General features: G+C 47.0%; 3 annotated features.

Annotated features, from left to right (window-relative positions):
- Window positions 1396-1896: an enhancer, noted in NCBI's record as "H3K27ac hESC enhancer chr13:111263161-111263661 (GRCh37/hg19 assembly coordinates)". NCBI's record gives its function as "activates a minimal SCP1, AML or CMV promoter by ChIP-STARR-seq in naive H9 embryonic stem cells {active_cell/tissue: H9 hESC(naive)}" and the evidence as "EXISTENCE:reporter gene assay evidence [ECO:0000049][PMID:30033119]".
- Window positions 1897-2397: an enhancer, noted in NCBI's record as "H3K27ac hESC enhancer chr13:111262660-111263160 (GRCh37/hg19 assembly coordinates)". NCBI's record gives its function as "activates a minimal SCP1, AML or CMV promoter by ChIP-STARR-seq in naive H9 embryonic stem cells {active_cell/tissue: H9 hESC(naive)}" and the evidence as "EXISTENCE:reporter gene assay evidence [ECO:0000049][PMID:30033119]".
- Window positions 10565-11433: an enhancer, noted in NCBI's record as "NANOG-H3K4me1 hESC enhancer chr13:111253624-111254492 (GRCh37/hg19 assembly coordinates)". NCBI's record gives its function as "activates a minimal SCP1, AML or CMV promoter by ChIP-STARR-seq in primed H9 embryonic stem cells {active_cell/tissue: H9 hESC(primed)}" and the evidence as "EXISTENCE:reporter gene assay evidence [ECO:0000049][PMID:30033119]".

Here is a 14108-nt window from a genome sequence, read left to right as displayed (position 1 = left end):
GGAAGTGTCTGGGTTAAGATAAGGGGTTGTGCAGATGAGGCCTCCAGGTAGCAGGCTTCAAAGAGAATGAATTGTAGATGTTTCTTTTTGTTGTTGTTGTTGTTTGAGACAGAGTCTCACTCTGTTGCCCAGGCTGGAGTCCAATGGCACAATCTTGGCCCACTGCAACCTCTGCCCCCCAGGTTCAAGCGATCCACCCTACTCAGCCTCCCAAGTAGCTGGAACTACAGGCGTGCACCACCACACCCGGCCAATTTTTGTATTTTTAGTAAAGACAGGGTTTCACTGTGTTGGCCAGGCTGGTCTCCAACTCCTGACCTCAAGTGATCCTCTGCCTTAGACTCCCAAAGTGCTGGCATTACAGGTGTGGCCCACCTCACCTGGACTTTGTAAATGTTTCTTATCAAACTTCAGGTGCCGGACTCTTAGTAAATTATCTCCTGGATCAAGAAAAAGACCTGGAAAAGGAAGGGGAGTCTCCTCAGAATGTAGATGTTTTTCCCCAAAGAGACAGTTTTGCAAGGCTATTTCAAAATATGCCAAATGAATATATTTGGGGTAAAATACTCCAGTTTCTTTCAGGGCTTGCAATCTGTCACATTGGTATCTTATTGCTACAAAAATTCTGCTTTGTCAGTCTTAAGGTCTCTGTTTTAACGTTAATGCTGGTCAACTGTGCCTGAATTCCAAAGGGAGGAGGGTATAATGAGGCATCCATCCCCCCTTTCCATCTCGGCCTGAACGAGTGTTTCAGGTTTACTGTAAAATGCCCTTGGCACCCTCCCCAGCCTCTGCCTCTGTCATCACATGATGGTCTCCTTGTCCTCACGTGGGATTTTCCTCTCCTTTAAGGACACCAGTCATATTGGAGTAGGGCCCACCCTAATGATCTCATCTCATCTTAATTCAATAATCTATAAAGACCTCACTTCCAGTTACGGTTATAGTCACAGGTACTAGGGGTTAGGATTTAACATATTCTGAGGAGACACAACTCAACCCATAATACCTTCTGTTAATAAATTAACCTCCCTGCTTTCCTACAGCAATAGAATGATCTTTCCTATAAGTCAGATCATGTCACTCCTCTGCATAGAACCATCCAACTGTTTTCCATGACACTCAGATTAAAATTAAGGTGCATTCCATCACTCTCCGACCCCTATGTGATTGGCGCCCCCAATCACCTACAGCTGTCGGAGGTCTCCGGAGGGTCTCTGGATGCCACTGAGACCCCAGCCCCAGCCAGTTTCCAAGTTCTTGACACCAGCATGAGAAAGAATTCAGGGACACGTCAGAATGAAACGAAAGGCAAGAAGCTTTTACTGCAAAGCGAAAGCACACACGTAAAAGAGAATTGCGGGCGTGCTCAGCAGAGTGAGTCACATCAGAGTTTGAGTTTCTAATTTTATGGATTTTTTTTTAATTAGGGGGTGGAATAATCATAAGGTATTCTGGAAAAGGAGTGATTTCAGGGACTCCCTCCCCCCATTACCACAGACTTTTACCCTTATTCAAGTTTTCCCAGGATCATGGACATATCACCCTGACCAGGATTTGACCATTTTCTCTTCCTTATTTTGGGTTTTCTGTTAACCTGCGGTTTCTTTGCCTCGTTCTTATTCTAGCTGTTGTTTGGGTTTTTCCATCCTCCTGTGACCACCCAGTGCTATTCCCATTTCATTTTCCCCCTTGGAGATTTCCATCCCTTCTTCTTTTATTTATTTTCTTTCTTTCTTTTTTTGAGACAGGGTCTCACTCTGTTACCCAGGCTGGGATGCAGTGGCATAATCATGGCTCACTGCAGCCTCCCCTTCCCAGGCTCCAGCGATCCTCAGACTTCAGCTTCCTGAGTATCTGGGACCACAGGTGTGTGCTACCACGCCCGGCTAATTTTTGTATTTTTGGTAGAGATGGGTTTTTGCCATGTTGTGCAGGGTGGTCTCAAACTCTTGAGCTCAAGCGATCTGCCTACCTTGGCCTCCCAAAGTGCTGGGATTACAGGCATGAGCCACCTACCGTGCTCAGCCATTCCATCCCTTATTCTTGAGGGAGATGAGGGAGGAGGTCAGTCTTCCGTGTCATCTTCCTGCTGATTTAAGAGCACTGGCCCTGCCTACCGAGGGCATGGGAATCTCCAGCTGCTTGATCTAAGGGTCCCCAGGGGACAGCAGGAGCGTCTGATTCCAAGACAGGAAGCAGCTGGAACCCTAGCTTGAAGATCACCTTTACCTAGATCTGCTGTAACCAGAGACAGGCACTTTACAAGCAAGTTGAATATGCATGGGCCAAATATTAACGATGAGCTCACCCTTAACGGGCCCAAAAGTGGTAAAAACCAGGTACTAGAAGGTACAGCAGCTTTAACAGCATCCCACATAAAATCAGCAGGAGGGTTTTTCTTTTCGAGGGTGCAAAGGCATTTTGCCTGGTCATTTGTGCCTGAATTCCAAGGCATGGGGGAAAGTGGAGTGAGGCGTGTCTGACCCCCAGCTTTCCATCATGGCCTGAACTAGTTTTTCAGGTTTTTTTTTTTTTTTTAATTGGATCCCCTTTGGGCAAGAGGCGTGTCCATTCTACTAGGGAGGATGCAGATTTTTTTTAGTTTATAGTCCGCTTTTTGTAAAGGTATGCCAGAGGCAGTGTCAATGGCCAAGCTTTTATTTTGTCCCATATTGATGCCGGGGGGGGGGGGGGGGGGGGGGGGTGCTACCTGTGCCAGGTCTATCATGTCCCTCAGTGGGACCCCTACGGCTAAGGGACTTAGAGTCAAAAGACTTATAACCAATTAATTATTCTAAGCCAAATGGAATGGAAGTGCGCAGGCACTCATTAACCTTCGAATCTCTTTTAAGCAACATAAGAACCAAAAACCAAAAGCCAAAAGACAAGGTAACATAATTGACTTATTTATAAATTATGTGCATTGAGCCACCATAATCTGGTTTGTAGCAATTAGCTATACAAAACACAAGCATTTTGTTAAGCTGCTGAGGCATCTCTGTGACCATTAATGACTGAATCCATTAATTCAGTTGGAGGATCTGAATTAATTTTATTCCTCAGAATTGGCCCTTACAATCTTATGCTGGGCCTGGAGGGATTGTATAGTTCAAATTCTGGAGGCACAACAAACGCAAGGAGCTAAAAACATTTTAAACAAAAAGGTCACAAGCCCTGCCTAGTTTTGCAAATGATAGAAAAAAAATTAAACCTTTAAATTATTTAGTATCTAGGCATAGAATAAATATTACATTATTTCAAATAAAGGCAAAATTATTAAATGAACCTTTTTTTTTGAGACGGAGTCTCGCTCTGTCGCCCAGGCTGGAGTGCAGTGGCGCGATCTCGGCTCACTGCAAGCTCCGCCTCCCGGGTTCACGCCATTCTCCTGCCTCAGCCTCCCGAGTAGCGCCCGCCACCACGCCCGGCTAATTTTTTGTATTTTTAGTAGAGACGGGGTTTCACCTTGTTAGCCAGGATGGTCTCGATCTCCTGACCTCGTGGATCCACCCACCTCGGCCTCCCAAAGTGCTGGGATTACAGGCGTGAGCCACTGCGCCCAGCCTAAATGAACCTTAATGTATTTGAATACAGGCCTGTCCCTGTGTTTCATGAAAGCAGTTTACTTTGAGTGTCACCTTTGCCCAGGTCTAAAGATGAGGCTTTGGTCATCTTGAGTTTGGTGTCAGTTTCTGGTAGGAGTCAGTGCGTTCTTCAGATGCGACATGTGTACCCAGGAGTCAAGGCCCTGCAACTTAACAGCACGAAAATTAGTTAATAGACCCCGATAAGGACTCCCTCAAGGGGCTAAGGGAGTTCTTCAGCTGATTTGCTTCCAGTAAATGTAATTATCAGGCCAGAGGTGGTGATAGTGGAGTTCATGGTCTGACTGGAAGCTGTAAAAATGTTCACAGCCGGACGAGGTGGCTCGCGCCTGTAATCCCAGCACTTTGGGAGGCCGAGGCGGACGGATCTCTAGGTCAGGAGTTCGAGACCAGCCCGGCCAACATGGTGAAACCCCGTCTCTACTAAAAATACAAAAAATTAGCTGGAACGTGGTGGCACGTGTCTGTAATCCCAGCTACTCGGGAGGCTGAGGCAGGAGAATCACTTGAACCCGGGAGCCGGAGGTTGCAATGAGCCGGGATCTCGCCATTGCACTCCAGGCTGGGTGACAGGGCGAGACTCCGTCTCAAAAAAAAAAAAAAGTTCTACAACCTTGCAGCAATTAATTTTTATAGATTTAATAAGCCCCAGCAATAAGACACCTCAGAGACTTAATTTAGGATTTTGATTTTGAGGACGTTTATTAAAGATGTTAAAAGGCTCAAAACATCTGATCCAAACAGAAGCACAGGTCATTGTAAAATAATAGTTACTTACTTAACAAAAGTGATAATCAAAAGACTTTAAAGGCAATACAGAAGGTAATACGGATGTAAAAACCTTGACCCTTTTACATTTCAGATTTTGCAATCAAAAACCTAATAAAGACAGCATGAGAATTATAAAATCTTGTCTCTTAAGCCAGTTACCAAAAAAGCAAAGAAAAATCTGCAGTGACTGCTTCTCCTTATGAGAAGCCCACTTAGATAACCTGGAAGTCAAGTTTGATGAAAAAGTACTGGAATTTAATCAGACACAGGAAGAGTGTGTTCAAGGTTATGAGCATACCACGGGAATACATGACTCTTAGGAACAGCATGAGAAGTTTCTTGATTACACTGAAAATTTAGACATATCAAAAAAAGCCTAGAGTACAGAACGGAGGAAAACAATGTTTTCTGTTTTGACCTTCAAGATAAAACATTTCAGCCTTAGGCCGTAACAGTAAAATTGAAACCAGAAGAAAAAAGTTACAAGAGCTGACAAAAAGGCTGAGTTACCATCTCAGGCCTTCTCAACAGAGAAAAGGCAGAAACAGATTATAGAATTATTATGAAAAGCAGAAGTTCAATTAATTTTATTGAGAGCAAATCAATACTTTAAAGAAGCTTTGTTTTAACATACAGGACTATTATAAATGATTTCCTTTTTTAAAAAGTCCATTAAAACATTTTTTTTTAAATTTTTTTCTAAGAGAGCCTGGCTTTGTCACCTAGGCTGGAATGCAATGGCACGATCTTGGCTCACTGCAACCTTCGTCTCCCAGGTTCAAGCGATTCTCTTGCCTCAGCCTCCTGTGTAACTGGAATTACAGGAATGAGCCACCATGCCTGGCTATTTTTTGTATTTTTAGTAGAGACGGGGTTTCACCATGTTGGTCAGGCTGGACTTGAACTCCTGACCTCATATGATCCGCCCACCTCAGCCTCCCAAAGTGCTGGGATTACAGGCATGAGCCACCGTGCCTAGCCAATTTCCTTTTAATTATAACCAAGTTGCCTCTCCCCTCTCCCCTCTCCCCACGGTCTCCCTCTCCCTCTCTTTCCACAGTCTCCCTCTGATGCCGAGCCGAAGCTGGACTGTACTGCTGCCATCTCGGCTCACTGCAACCTCCCTGCCTGATTCTTCTGCCTCAGCCTGCCGAGTGCCTGCGATTGCAGGCGCGCGCCGCCACGCCTGACTGGTTTTCGTATTTTTTTGGTGGAGATGGGGTTTCACTGTGTTGGCCGGGCTGGTCTCCAGCTCCTAACCGCGAGTGATCCGCCAGCCTCAGCCTCTCGAGGTGCCGGGATTGCAGACGGAGTCTCGTTCACTCAGTGCTCAGTGGTGCCCAGGCTGGAGTGCAGTGGCGTGATCTCGGCTCGCTACAACCTCCACCTCCCAGCCGCCTGCCTTGGCCTCCCAAAGTGCCGAGATTGCAGCCTCTGCCCAGCCGCCACCCCGTCTGGGAAGTGAGGAGTGTCTCTGCCTGGCCGCCCATCGTCTGGGATGTGAGGAGCCCCTCTGCCTGGCTGCCCAGTCTGGAAAGTGAGGAGCGTCTCTGCCCGGCCGCCATCCCATCTAGGAAGTGAGGAGCACCTCTTCCCGGCCGCCATCCCATCTAGGAAGTGAGGAGCGTCTCTGCCTGGCCGCCCATCATCTGACATGTGGGGAGCGCCTCTGCCCTGCCACCCCGTCTGGGATGTGAGGAGCATCTCTGCCCGGCCGCCCCGTCTGAGAAGTGAGGAGCCCCTCCGCCCGGCAGCCGCCCCGTCTGAGAAGTGAGGAGCCCCTCCGCCCGGCAGCCACCCCGTCTGGGAAGTGAGGAGCGTCTCCGCCTGGCAGCCGCCCCGTCCGGGAGGGAGGTGGGGGGGTCAGCTCCCGGCCCGGCCAGCCGCCTCGTCCAGGAGGTGAGGGGCGCCTCTGCCCGGCCGCCCCTACTGGGAAGTGAGGAGCCCCTCTGCCCGGCCAGCCGCCCCGTCCGGGAGGGAGGTGGGGGGGTCAGCCCCCCTCCCAGCGAGTCGCCCCGTCCGGGAGGGAGGTGGAGGGGTCAGCCCCCCGCCCGGCCAGCCGCCCCGTCCGGGAGGTGAGGGGCGCCTCTGCCCGGCCACCCCTACTGGGAAGTGAGGAGCCCCTCTGCCTGGCCACCACCCCATCTGGGAGGTGTACCCAACAGCTCATTGAGAACGGGCCATGATGACAATGGCGGTTTTGTGGAATAGAAAGCGGGGAAAGGTGGGGAAAAGATTGAGAAATCGGATGGTTGCCGTGTCTGTGTAGAAAGAGGTAGACATGGGAAACTTTTCATTTTGTTCTGTACTAAGAAAAATTCTTCTGCCTTGGGATCCTGTTGATCTGTGACCTTACCCCCAACCCTGTGCTCTCTGAAACATGTGCTGTGTCCACTCAGGGTTGAATGGATTAAGGGCCGTGCAAGATGTGCTTTGTTAAACAGATGCTTGAAGGCAGCATGCTCGTTAAGAGTCATCACCACTCCCTAATCTCAAGTACCCAGGGACACAAACACTGAGGAAGGCCGCAGGGTCCTCTGCCTAGGAAAACCAGAGACCTTTGTTCACTTGTTTATTGGCTGACCTTCCCTCCACTATTGTCCTGTGACCCTGCCAAATCCCCCTCTGCGAGAAACACCCAAGAATGATCAATAAAAATAAATAAATAAATAAATAAATAATAAAAAAAAATTTGAAAACCAATCAACATAGTCTACCAAATTAACAGAATAAATTTAAAAATAATCATTTAAAAAAAAAAGAAACACACACAAAAAAAATAATAATTATTATAACCAAGTTAATCGCAGACAAAATTTCTTTCCTAAATTCCCATTTGCAAACCTTATGACAACTTACACAGACCATCTACGAAATGGCTCAAGCAATCCTCCTGCCTCAGCCTCCCAAAGTGCTGGGATTCTGGGTGTGAGGCACTGCATTCGGGCAATGCTTGGACTTTCTGACTTGTCCTAAACTTCCCTCTTTTGTAAATATTAGGTTGGTGCAAAAGTAATTGCGGTTTTTGCATTGTTGAAATTTGCCGTTTGATAATATATTCTTAAATACATGCAGTCATGCTATACGTCATTTTAATGCACATTTCTCACTTTTTTTTGCTAATGACTTATTACTTGCTGCTTTATTATATATTTATTTAAGACTATGGAAATAATGTTAGACAAAAAGGAAATTCAAGCAATTTTCTTTTCTTTTTTTTTTTTTTTTTTGAGACAGAGTCTTGCTCTGTTGCCCAGGCTGCAGTGCAGTGGTGAGATCTCGGCTCACTACAAGCTCAGCCTCCCGAGTTCATGCCATTCTCCTGCCTCAGCCTCCTGAGTAGCTGGAACTACAGGCGCTCACCACCACGCCCGGCTAGTTTTTTGTATTTTTAGTAGAGACGGGCTTTCACAGTGTTAGCCAGGATGGTCTCGATCTCCTGACCTTGTGATCCGCCCACCTCAGCCTCCCAAGGTGCTGGGATTACAGTCATGAGCCACCACGCCCGGCCTCAAACAATTTTCTTATTTGAGTTCAAAATGGATAGTAAAGCAGCGGAGAAAACCTGCAACATCAACAATGCATTTGACCCAGGAACTGCTAATGAACACACAGTGCAGTGGTGAGTCAAGAAGTTTTGAAGAGGAGACAAAAGCCTTGAAGATGAGGAGCGTAGTGGCCGGCCATCGGAAGTTGACAACAACCGAGAGCAATCATTGAAGCCGATCCTCTTACAACTACCCGAGAAGCTGCTAAAGAACTCAACGTCAACCATTCTACAGTCAATCAACATTTGACACAAATTGAAAAGGTGAAAAAGCTCAATAAGTGGGTGCCTCATGAGCTGAGCGAGAATCAAAAAAATTGTAATTTTGAAGAGTCATCTTCTCTTATTCTCCACAACAACAGTGAACCATTTCTTGATCTGATTGTGATGTAAGATGAAAAGTGGATCTTACACAACTGGCAACAACCAGCTCAGTGGTTGGACCGAGAAGCTCCAAAGCACTTCCCAAAGCCAAACTTGCACGAAAAACAGGTCCTGGTCACTGTCTGGTGGTCTGTGCCAGTCTGATCCACCACAGCTTTCCGAATCCCAGTGAAACCATTACATCTGAGAAGTATGCTCAGCAAATCGAAGAGATGCATCGAAAACTGCAACGCCTGCAGCCGGCATTGGTCAACAGGAAGGGCCCAATTCTTCTCCACCGCAGCGCCCCCACCGCACGTCACACAACCAACACTTCAAAAGTGGAACAAATTGGGCTGTGAAGTTTTGCCTCATCCGCCATATTCACCTGACCTCTCACCAACCAACTACCATTTCTTCAAGCATCTCGACAACTTTTTGCAGGGAAAACGCTTCCACAACCAGCAGCATGCAGAAAGTGCTTTCCAAGAGTTCGTCAAATCCCAAAGCATGGATTTTTATGCTACAGGAATAAACAAATTTATTTTTCGTTGGCAAAAATGTGTTGATTGTAATGGTTCCTATTTTGATTAATAAAGATGTATTTGAGCCTTGTTATAATGATTTAAAATTTACGGTCCAAAACTGCAATTACTTTTGCACCAACGTAGGACAATAATTTACCATACAAGATCCTTTTTCTTTTACTTTTTCTTTTCTTTTTTTTTTGAGATGGAGTCTTGCTCTGTCGCCCAGGCTGCAGTGCAGTGTCACCATCTCGACTCACTGCAACCTCCGCTTCCAGGGTTCAAGTGATCCTCTTGCCTTAGCCTCCCAAGTAGCTGGGACTACAGGCATGAACCACCACACCCTGCTAATTTTTGTAATTTTTTGCATAGACAGGGTTTCACCATGTTGCTCAGGCTGGTCTCAAACTCCTCAAGCAATCTGGCCACCTCAGTCTCCCAAAGTGCTGGGACTACAGGCATGAGCCATGGTGCCTGGCCCACATCCATAACTTTCATCACATCTTTCTCTTCCCTACTTACTGGCTCCTTTCTTCCTTATTTCAGGTGAGCAGCACCATGCTCAGCTAATTTTTTTTTTTTTTTTGTATTTTTAGTAGAGACAGGGTTTCACCATGTTGGCCAGGCTGGTCTTGAACTCCTGACCACAGGTGATCCACCCCCCTCAGCCTCCCAAAGTGCTGGGATTACAGGCCTGAGCCACTGCGCCTGGACCATTCCACAATTTTAGAGATATGTTTTCCGGTATCCTAAACTTTCCTTAATTGAAAATGACCCAGACATCCAATCAGTAATCCAAGGAGAGCTGTGGACCAAAATTTTGGGTAAAGTAATCTTTATGGAAATTTGGTTTTTAAAAAGCTTTTTTTTTTTTCTTATCACTTCCTTCAGTTTTGTGAACCCCAAAAATTTGAGACAGGTCTTAGTTAATTTAGAAAGTTTATTTTGCCAAGATTGAGGACATGCACCCATGAGTCAGCCTCAGGAGGTCCTGACGACAGGTGCCCAAGATGGTCAGAGCACAGTTTGGTTTTATACATTTTAGGGGACATGAGACATCAATCAGCATATGTAAGATGAACATTGGTTGGGACTGGAAAGGCAAGACAACTCGAAGTGGGGAGGGGTCTTCCAGGTCATAGGTAGATAAGAGACAAATGGTTGCATTCCTTTATTTGTTTTTATGAGATGGAGTTTCGCTCTTGTTGCCCAGGCTGGAGTGCAATGGCGTGATCTTTGCTCGCCGCAACCTCCACCTCCCAGGTTCAAGTGATTCTCCTGCCTCAGCCTCCCAAGTAGCTGGGATTACAGGCATGCGCCACCATGCCCGGCTGATTTTGTATTTTTTTAGTAGAGATGGGGTTTCTCCATGTTGGTCAGGCTGGTCTCAAACTCCTGGCGTCAGGTGATCCGCCTGTCTTGGCCTCCCAGAGTGCTGGGATTACAGGCGTGAGCCACTGCGCCCCGGCCAAATGGTTGCATTCTTTTGAGTTCCTGGTTAGCCTCTCCCAAGGAAGCAATCAGATAAGCATTTATCTCAGTCAGCAGAGGGGTGACTTTGAATAGAATGGGAGGCAGCCTTGTTCTAAGCAGTTCCCAGCTTGACTTTTCCCTTTAGCTTTAGTCATTTTGGGTCCCAAGATATTTTCCTTTCACAGTTTCAAGTGAGTTTCTAAGGTTTACATTTTAGCCAGAACAAATTCTACAAGTAACCTTGAGAAGTAAGTTTTATCTCAACATGGGTAGCCTAATAATAGCAGATTCAAAGCAGGCAGAAGAGAAAAGAGAGAAATAAATAGAGAGCTTCAGAATTTTCTATTTAATTTTATACTTGCAGGGCAAAAATAACCACTGGAATGCCAACAGGCTGACACTTCAGACAAGGGAATGGGACTCTGGGTTTAACACATTTTATGTCTTTCTTACCTTTTTTTTTTTTTTTTAATTTTTGAGACAAGAGTCTTGCTCTGTCACCAGGCTGGAGTGCAGTGGCACGATCTCGGCTCACTGCAACCTCTGCCTTCCGGGTTCAAGTGATTTCCCTGCCTCAGCCTCCCAAGTAGCTGGGACTACAGGCGTGCGCCACCATGCCTGGCTAATTTTGTATTTTAGTAGAGACGGGGTTTCACCATGTTGGCCAGGATGGTCTTGAACTCCTGACCTCGTGATCCACCCACCTTGGCCTCCCAAAGTGCTGGGATTACAGGCATAAGCCACCACACCCAGCCATTTCTTACCATTTAAGAAACCAGAGCTGCAAAGACAGGGACATGGGTCTTTGAAAACATTTCTCTAAAACTGTGGAATGGTTGTATCTCTAGAATGCTAACATCTGACAAACAGTTCAGGATTTCTTCCTTCCAGTGAGTCTGTCTAGTCAAGAGGCTGCTTCCAGAGAGGTGAGTTCTTGTCGAAGGTGCTGAACCTTTGGTGAGGATGATTTGGAGAGTAGATGCAACAAATCTCCGTGCCTGGTGACATGGAGAACCTAGGAATTTCGAACCTAGTTCAACTCTAAAAACACACCTGGGAAGGCAGGCATCCTGGGCATGCTGACACCCATTACGGCTCGAGGCTAGTTTTTACAGCAGCTATTTATGGAAGTTTGGTTTTTTAAAAAAAATTTTGAGAGACAGGATCTCACTCTGTCTCCTAGGCTGGAGTACAGTGGCATGATCCTAGCTCACTGCAGCCTTGAACTCCTGTGCTCAGGCGATCCTCCTGCCTCAGCCTCCTGAGTAGCTGGAACTGCAGGTGTGTCACCATGCCTGGTTAATTTTTAACTGTTTTATTTATTATTTATTTATTTATTTACTTATCTATCTATCTTAGAGACAAGGGGCTTGCTATGTTGCCCAGGCTGGTCTCAAACTCTTGGCCTCAAAGGATCGTCCTGCCTCAGCCTCCCAAAATGCTAGGATTTCAGGCATGAGCCACCACTCGCGGCTGCAAGTTTGATTTAGAAGTAAAAACAAAACAAACCCAAAGCAACAAAGCAACAAGTCAACAAAGCAACAGGGAAATACTTGCACTCGCTACAGTTTCTTAGCGACTGTTTCCGAAGCTATATTTTAAAATCTTGCTCTTCTCTCAAAGTGCACTGACTCCTGGGAGGGGAGCGCTCTTCCCCTTTGCAAAGCCAGCTATTGCTGGGGCAAAGGACACGGGAGGGTAAAAGCTCTGGGGCTGGCTGGGCGGGAGGGAAGGAAGGCTTCCTGCTGTAATGGTTAATCCTAGTGTCAATTTGTCTGGGACACAGCAACCAGATATTTGGTCAGACACATATGAAAATTGCTGTGAAGGCATTTTAAAGATGAGATTAACATTTAAATCAGTCGACTTTGAGTAAAGCAGATTATCCTTCACGATGGGGTGGGCCTCATCCAATCCGCTGAAGGTCTTAAGAGAAAAGAACCACCTTTCCTTAGAAGCAGGGAGCTCTGACTACAGACTGCCTCAGGCTCCCTTGTCCCCAGCCTGGCCCCTGCCCTGCAGACTGTGCACTTGCCAGCCTGCATGATTGCATGAGCCAATTCCTTAAATCTTTCTCAACACATACACACACACACACGCAAGCGCACGCACACACACTTGCGTGCACACACATCCTATTGGTTCTGTTTTTCTGGAGAAGCCTCTCCAACACAGCCACCAAGGGTAAAAAAAGGGATAAAAAGGCAGAAGGCTGGGTACAGTGGCTCACGCCTGTAAGCCCAGCACTTTGGGAGGCCGAGGTGGGTGGATCACCTGAGGTCAGGAGTTTGAAACCAGCCTGGCCAACATGCTTAAATCCCATATCTACTAAAAATACAAAAATTAGCCAGGCACGGTGGCGGGCGCCTGTAGTCCCAGCTACTCAGGAGGCTGAGGCGGGAAAATCGCTTGAGCCTGGGAGGTGGAGGCTGCAGTGAGCTGAGATCGTGCCACTGCACTCCAACCTGGTCAACCGAGTGAGACTCTGTCTCAAAAAAAAAAAAAAAAAAAGAAAAGAAAAAGTAGACAGGCAGATAGCACCCCAAATAAAAATCCAACAGGTGAGGCCTGGGGTAGAGGAAAGAAGGTTGAACTAGGAATTGGGGGCTGTGGGTTTCAGTTTACGCTCTGCTGACAAAAGGGATATGTGATTGTTTTTCTTATTTTTTCTTTCTTTTTTGAGACAGGGTCTCACTCTGTCACCCTGGCTGGAGTCCAGAGGGGGAATCAAAGCTCACTATAACCTCAAACTCCTGGGCTCAAGCAATCCTCCCCTCTCAGCCTCCCTCTGCTTTCTCGTGTGTAAAGTTAGGAGGCGGGGTTTGGTATGCGTGGCCTTTCTTGCTCTGAATGTTGTGGCTCAGGGTCTCATTGTTCCTCCCGTGGCCAGTCCTGTGTGTGGCTTCTGCCTGCTCCGGGCAGCGGGGTAGGTCTGGTGCTGGTTGGCCCCCTCAGCTTCAGTCTCCATGTGAAAGGCCTGGCACCTCATTCTTCAGGAACAATATTCAGAAACAAGTGGCAGAACTTACATTTTCTTTGTGATTGAAACTTGATTTTGCTACATCCAAGTGGAGGTCACATAGACTAAAGATTAGCCATTCGATCACAAATAAGAGAGGACATGTGTGACCAGGCAAAACACAAAATTAAAAGCAAAACTAACTAGCATCTTCTCATCCCAGGGAGAGGGTAGCTGGTGGTAAGGTCCGGGGATTCATGATGGAAGTCCAGCTCTGTCTCCAGAACCTTCTCCTAATCCCAGCCCAGTCTCCCACGAGTTGTGCTCTGTGTACCCGGCCTGAGGCCACATTCTCAAAGTTCTTGAGCACTCTGGCCCTAAAACCCTGGCCCCTCTGGGGACCCTGCTCACATTTCCTGCGGTGCTCAGGAGTTTGTCTCTATACTTTCCCACAGCCTGTGGGAAGATGTCCTCCACAGAAATGATTCAGTCCAAGTTCCCAAAATTGATCTCTGTGGCCGAATTTATGCTGAGACATGGCATGCCAGGAGCCTGCTCAGGAAGGGAGACACTGAGCGACCTCTTTCTGGCCTTGCTTTGCTCCTTTTGTCTAAGCCAGGGGTGTCTGATCTTTTGGCTTCTGGGGGCCCCATTGGAAGAAGAATTGTCTTGGGCCACACATAAAATACACTAACACAAACGACAGCTGATGAACTAAAAAACTCACAATGTTTTAAGAAAGTTTACGAATTTGTGTTGGGCCTCATTCAAAGCCCTCCTGGGCCACATGTGGCCCGTGGGCCTCGGGTTGGACAAGCTTGGTCTAGGCGTTTTGGTTCTCGACAGAATTTCTCTGCGTT

This window comes from Homo sapiens, chromosome 13 (genome assembly GCF_000001405.40).
Source record: "Homo sapiens chromosome 13, GRCh38.p14 Primary Assembly".
NCBI lineage: Eukaryota > Metazoa > Chordata > Mammalia > Primates > Hominidae > Homo > Homo sapiens.
This window is presented reverse-complemented; position numbering and strand designations above follow the sequence as displayed.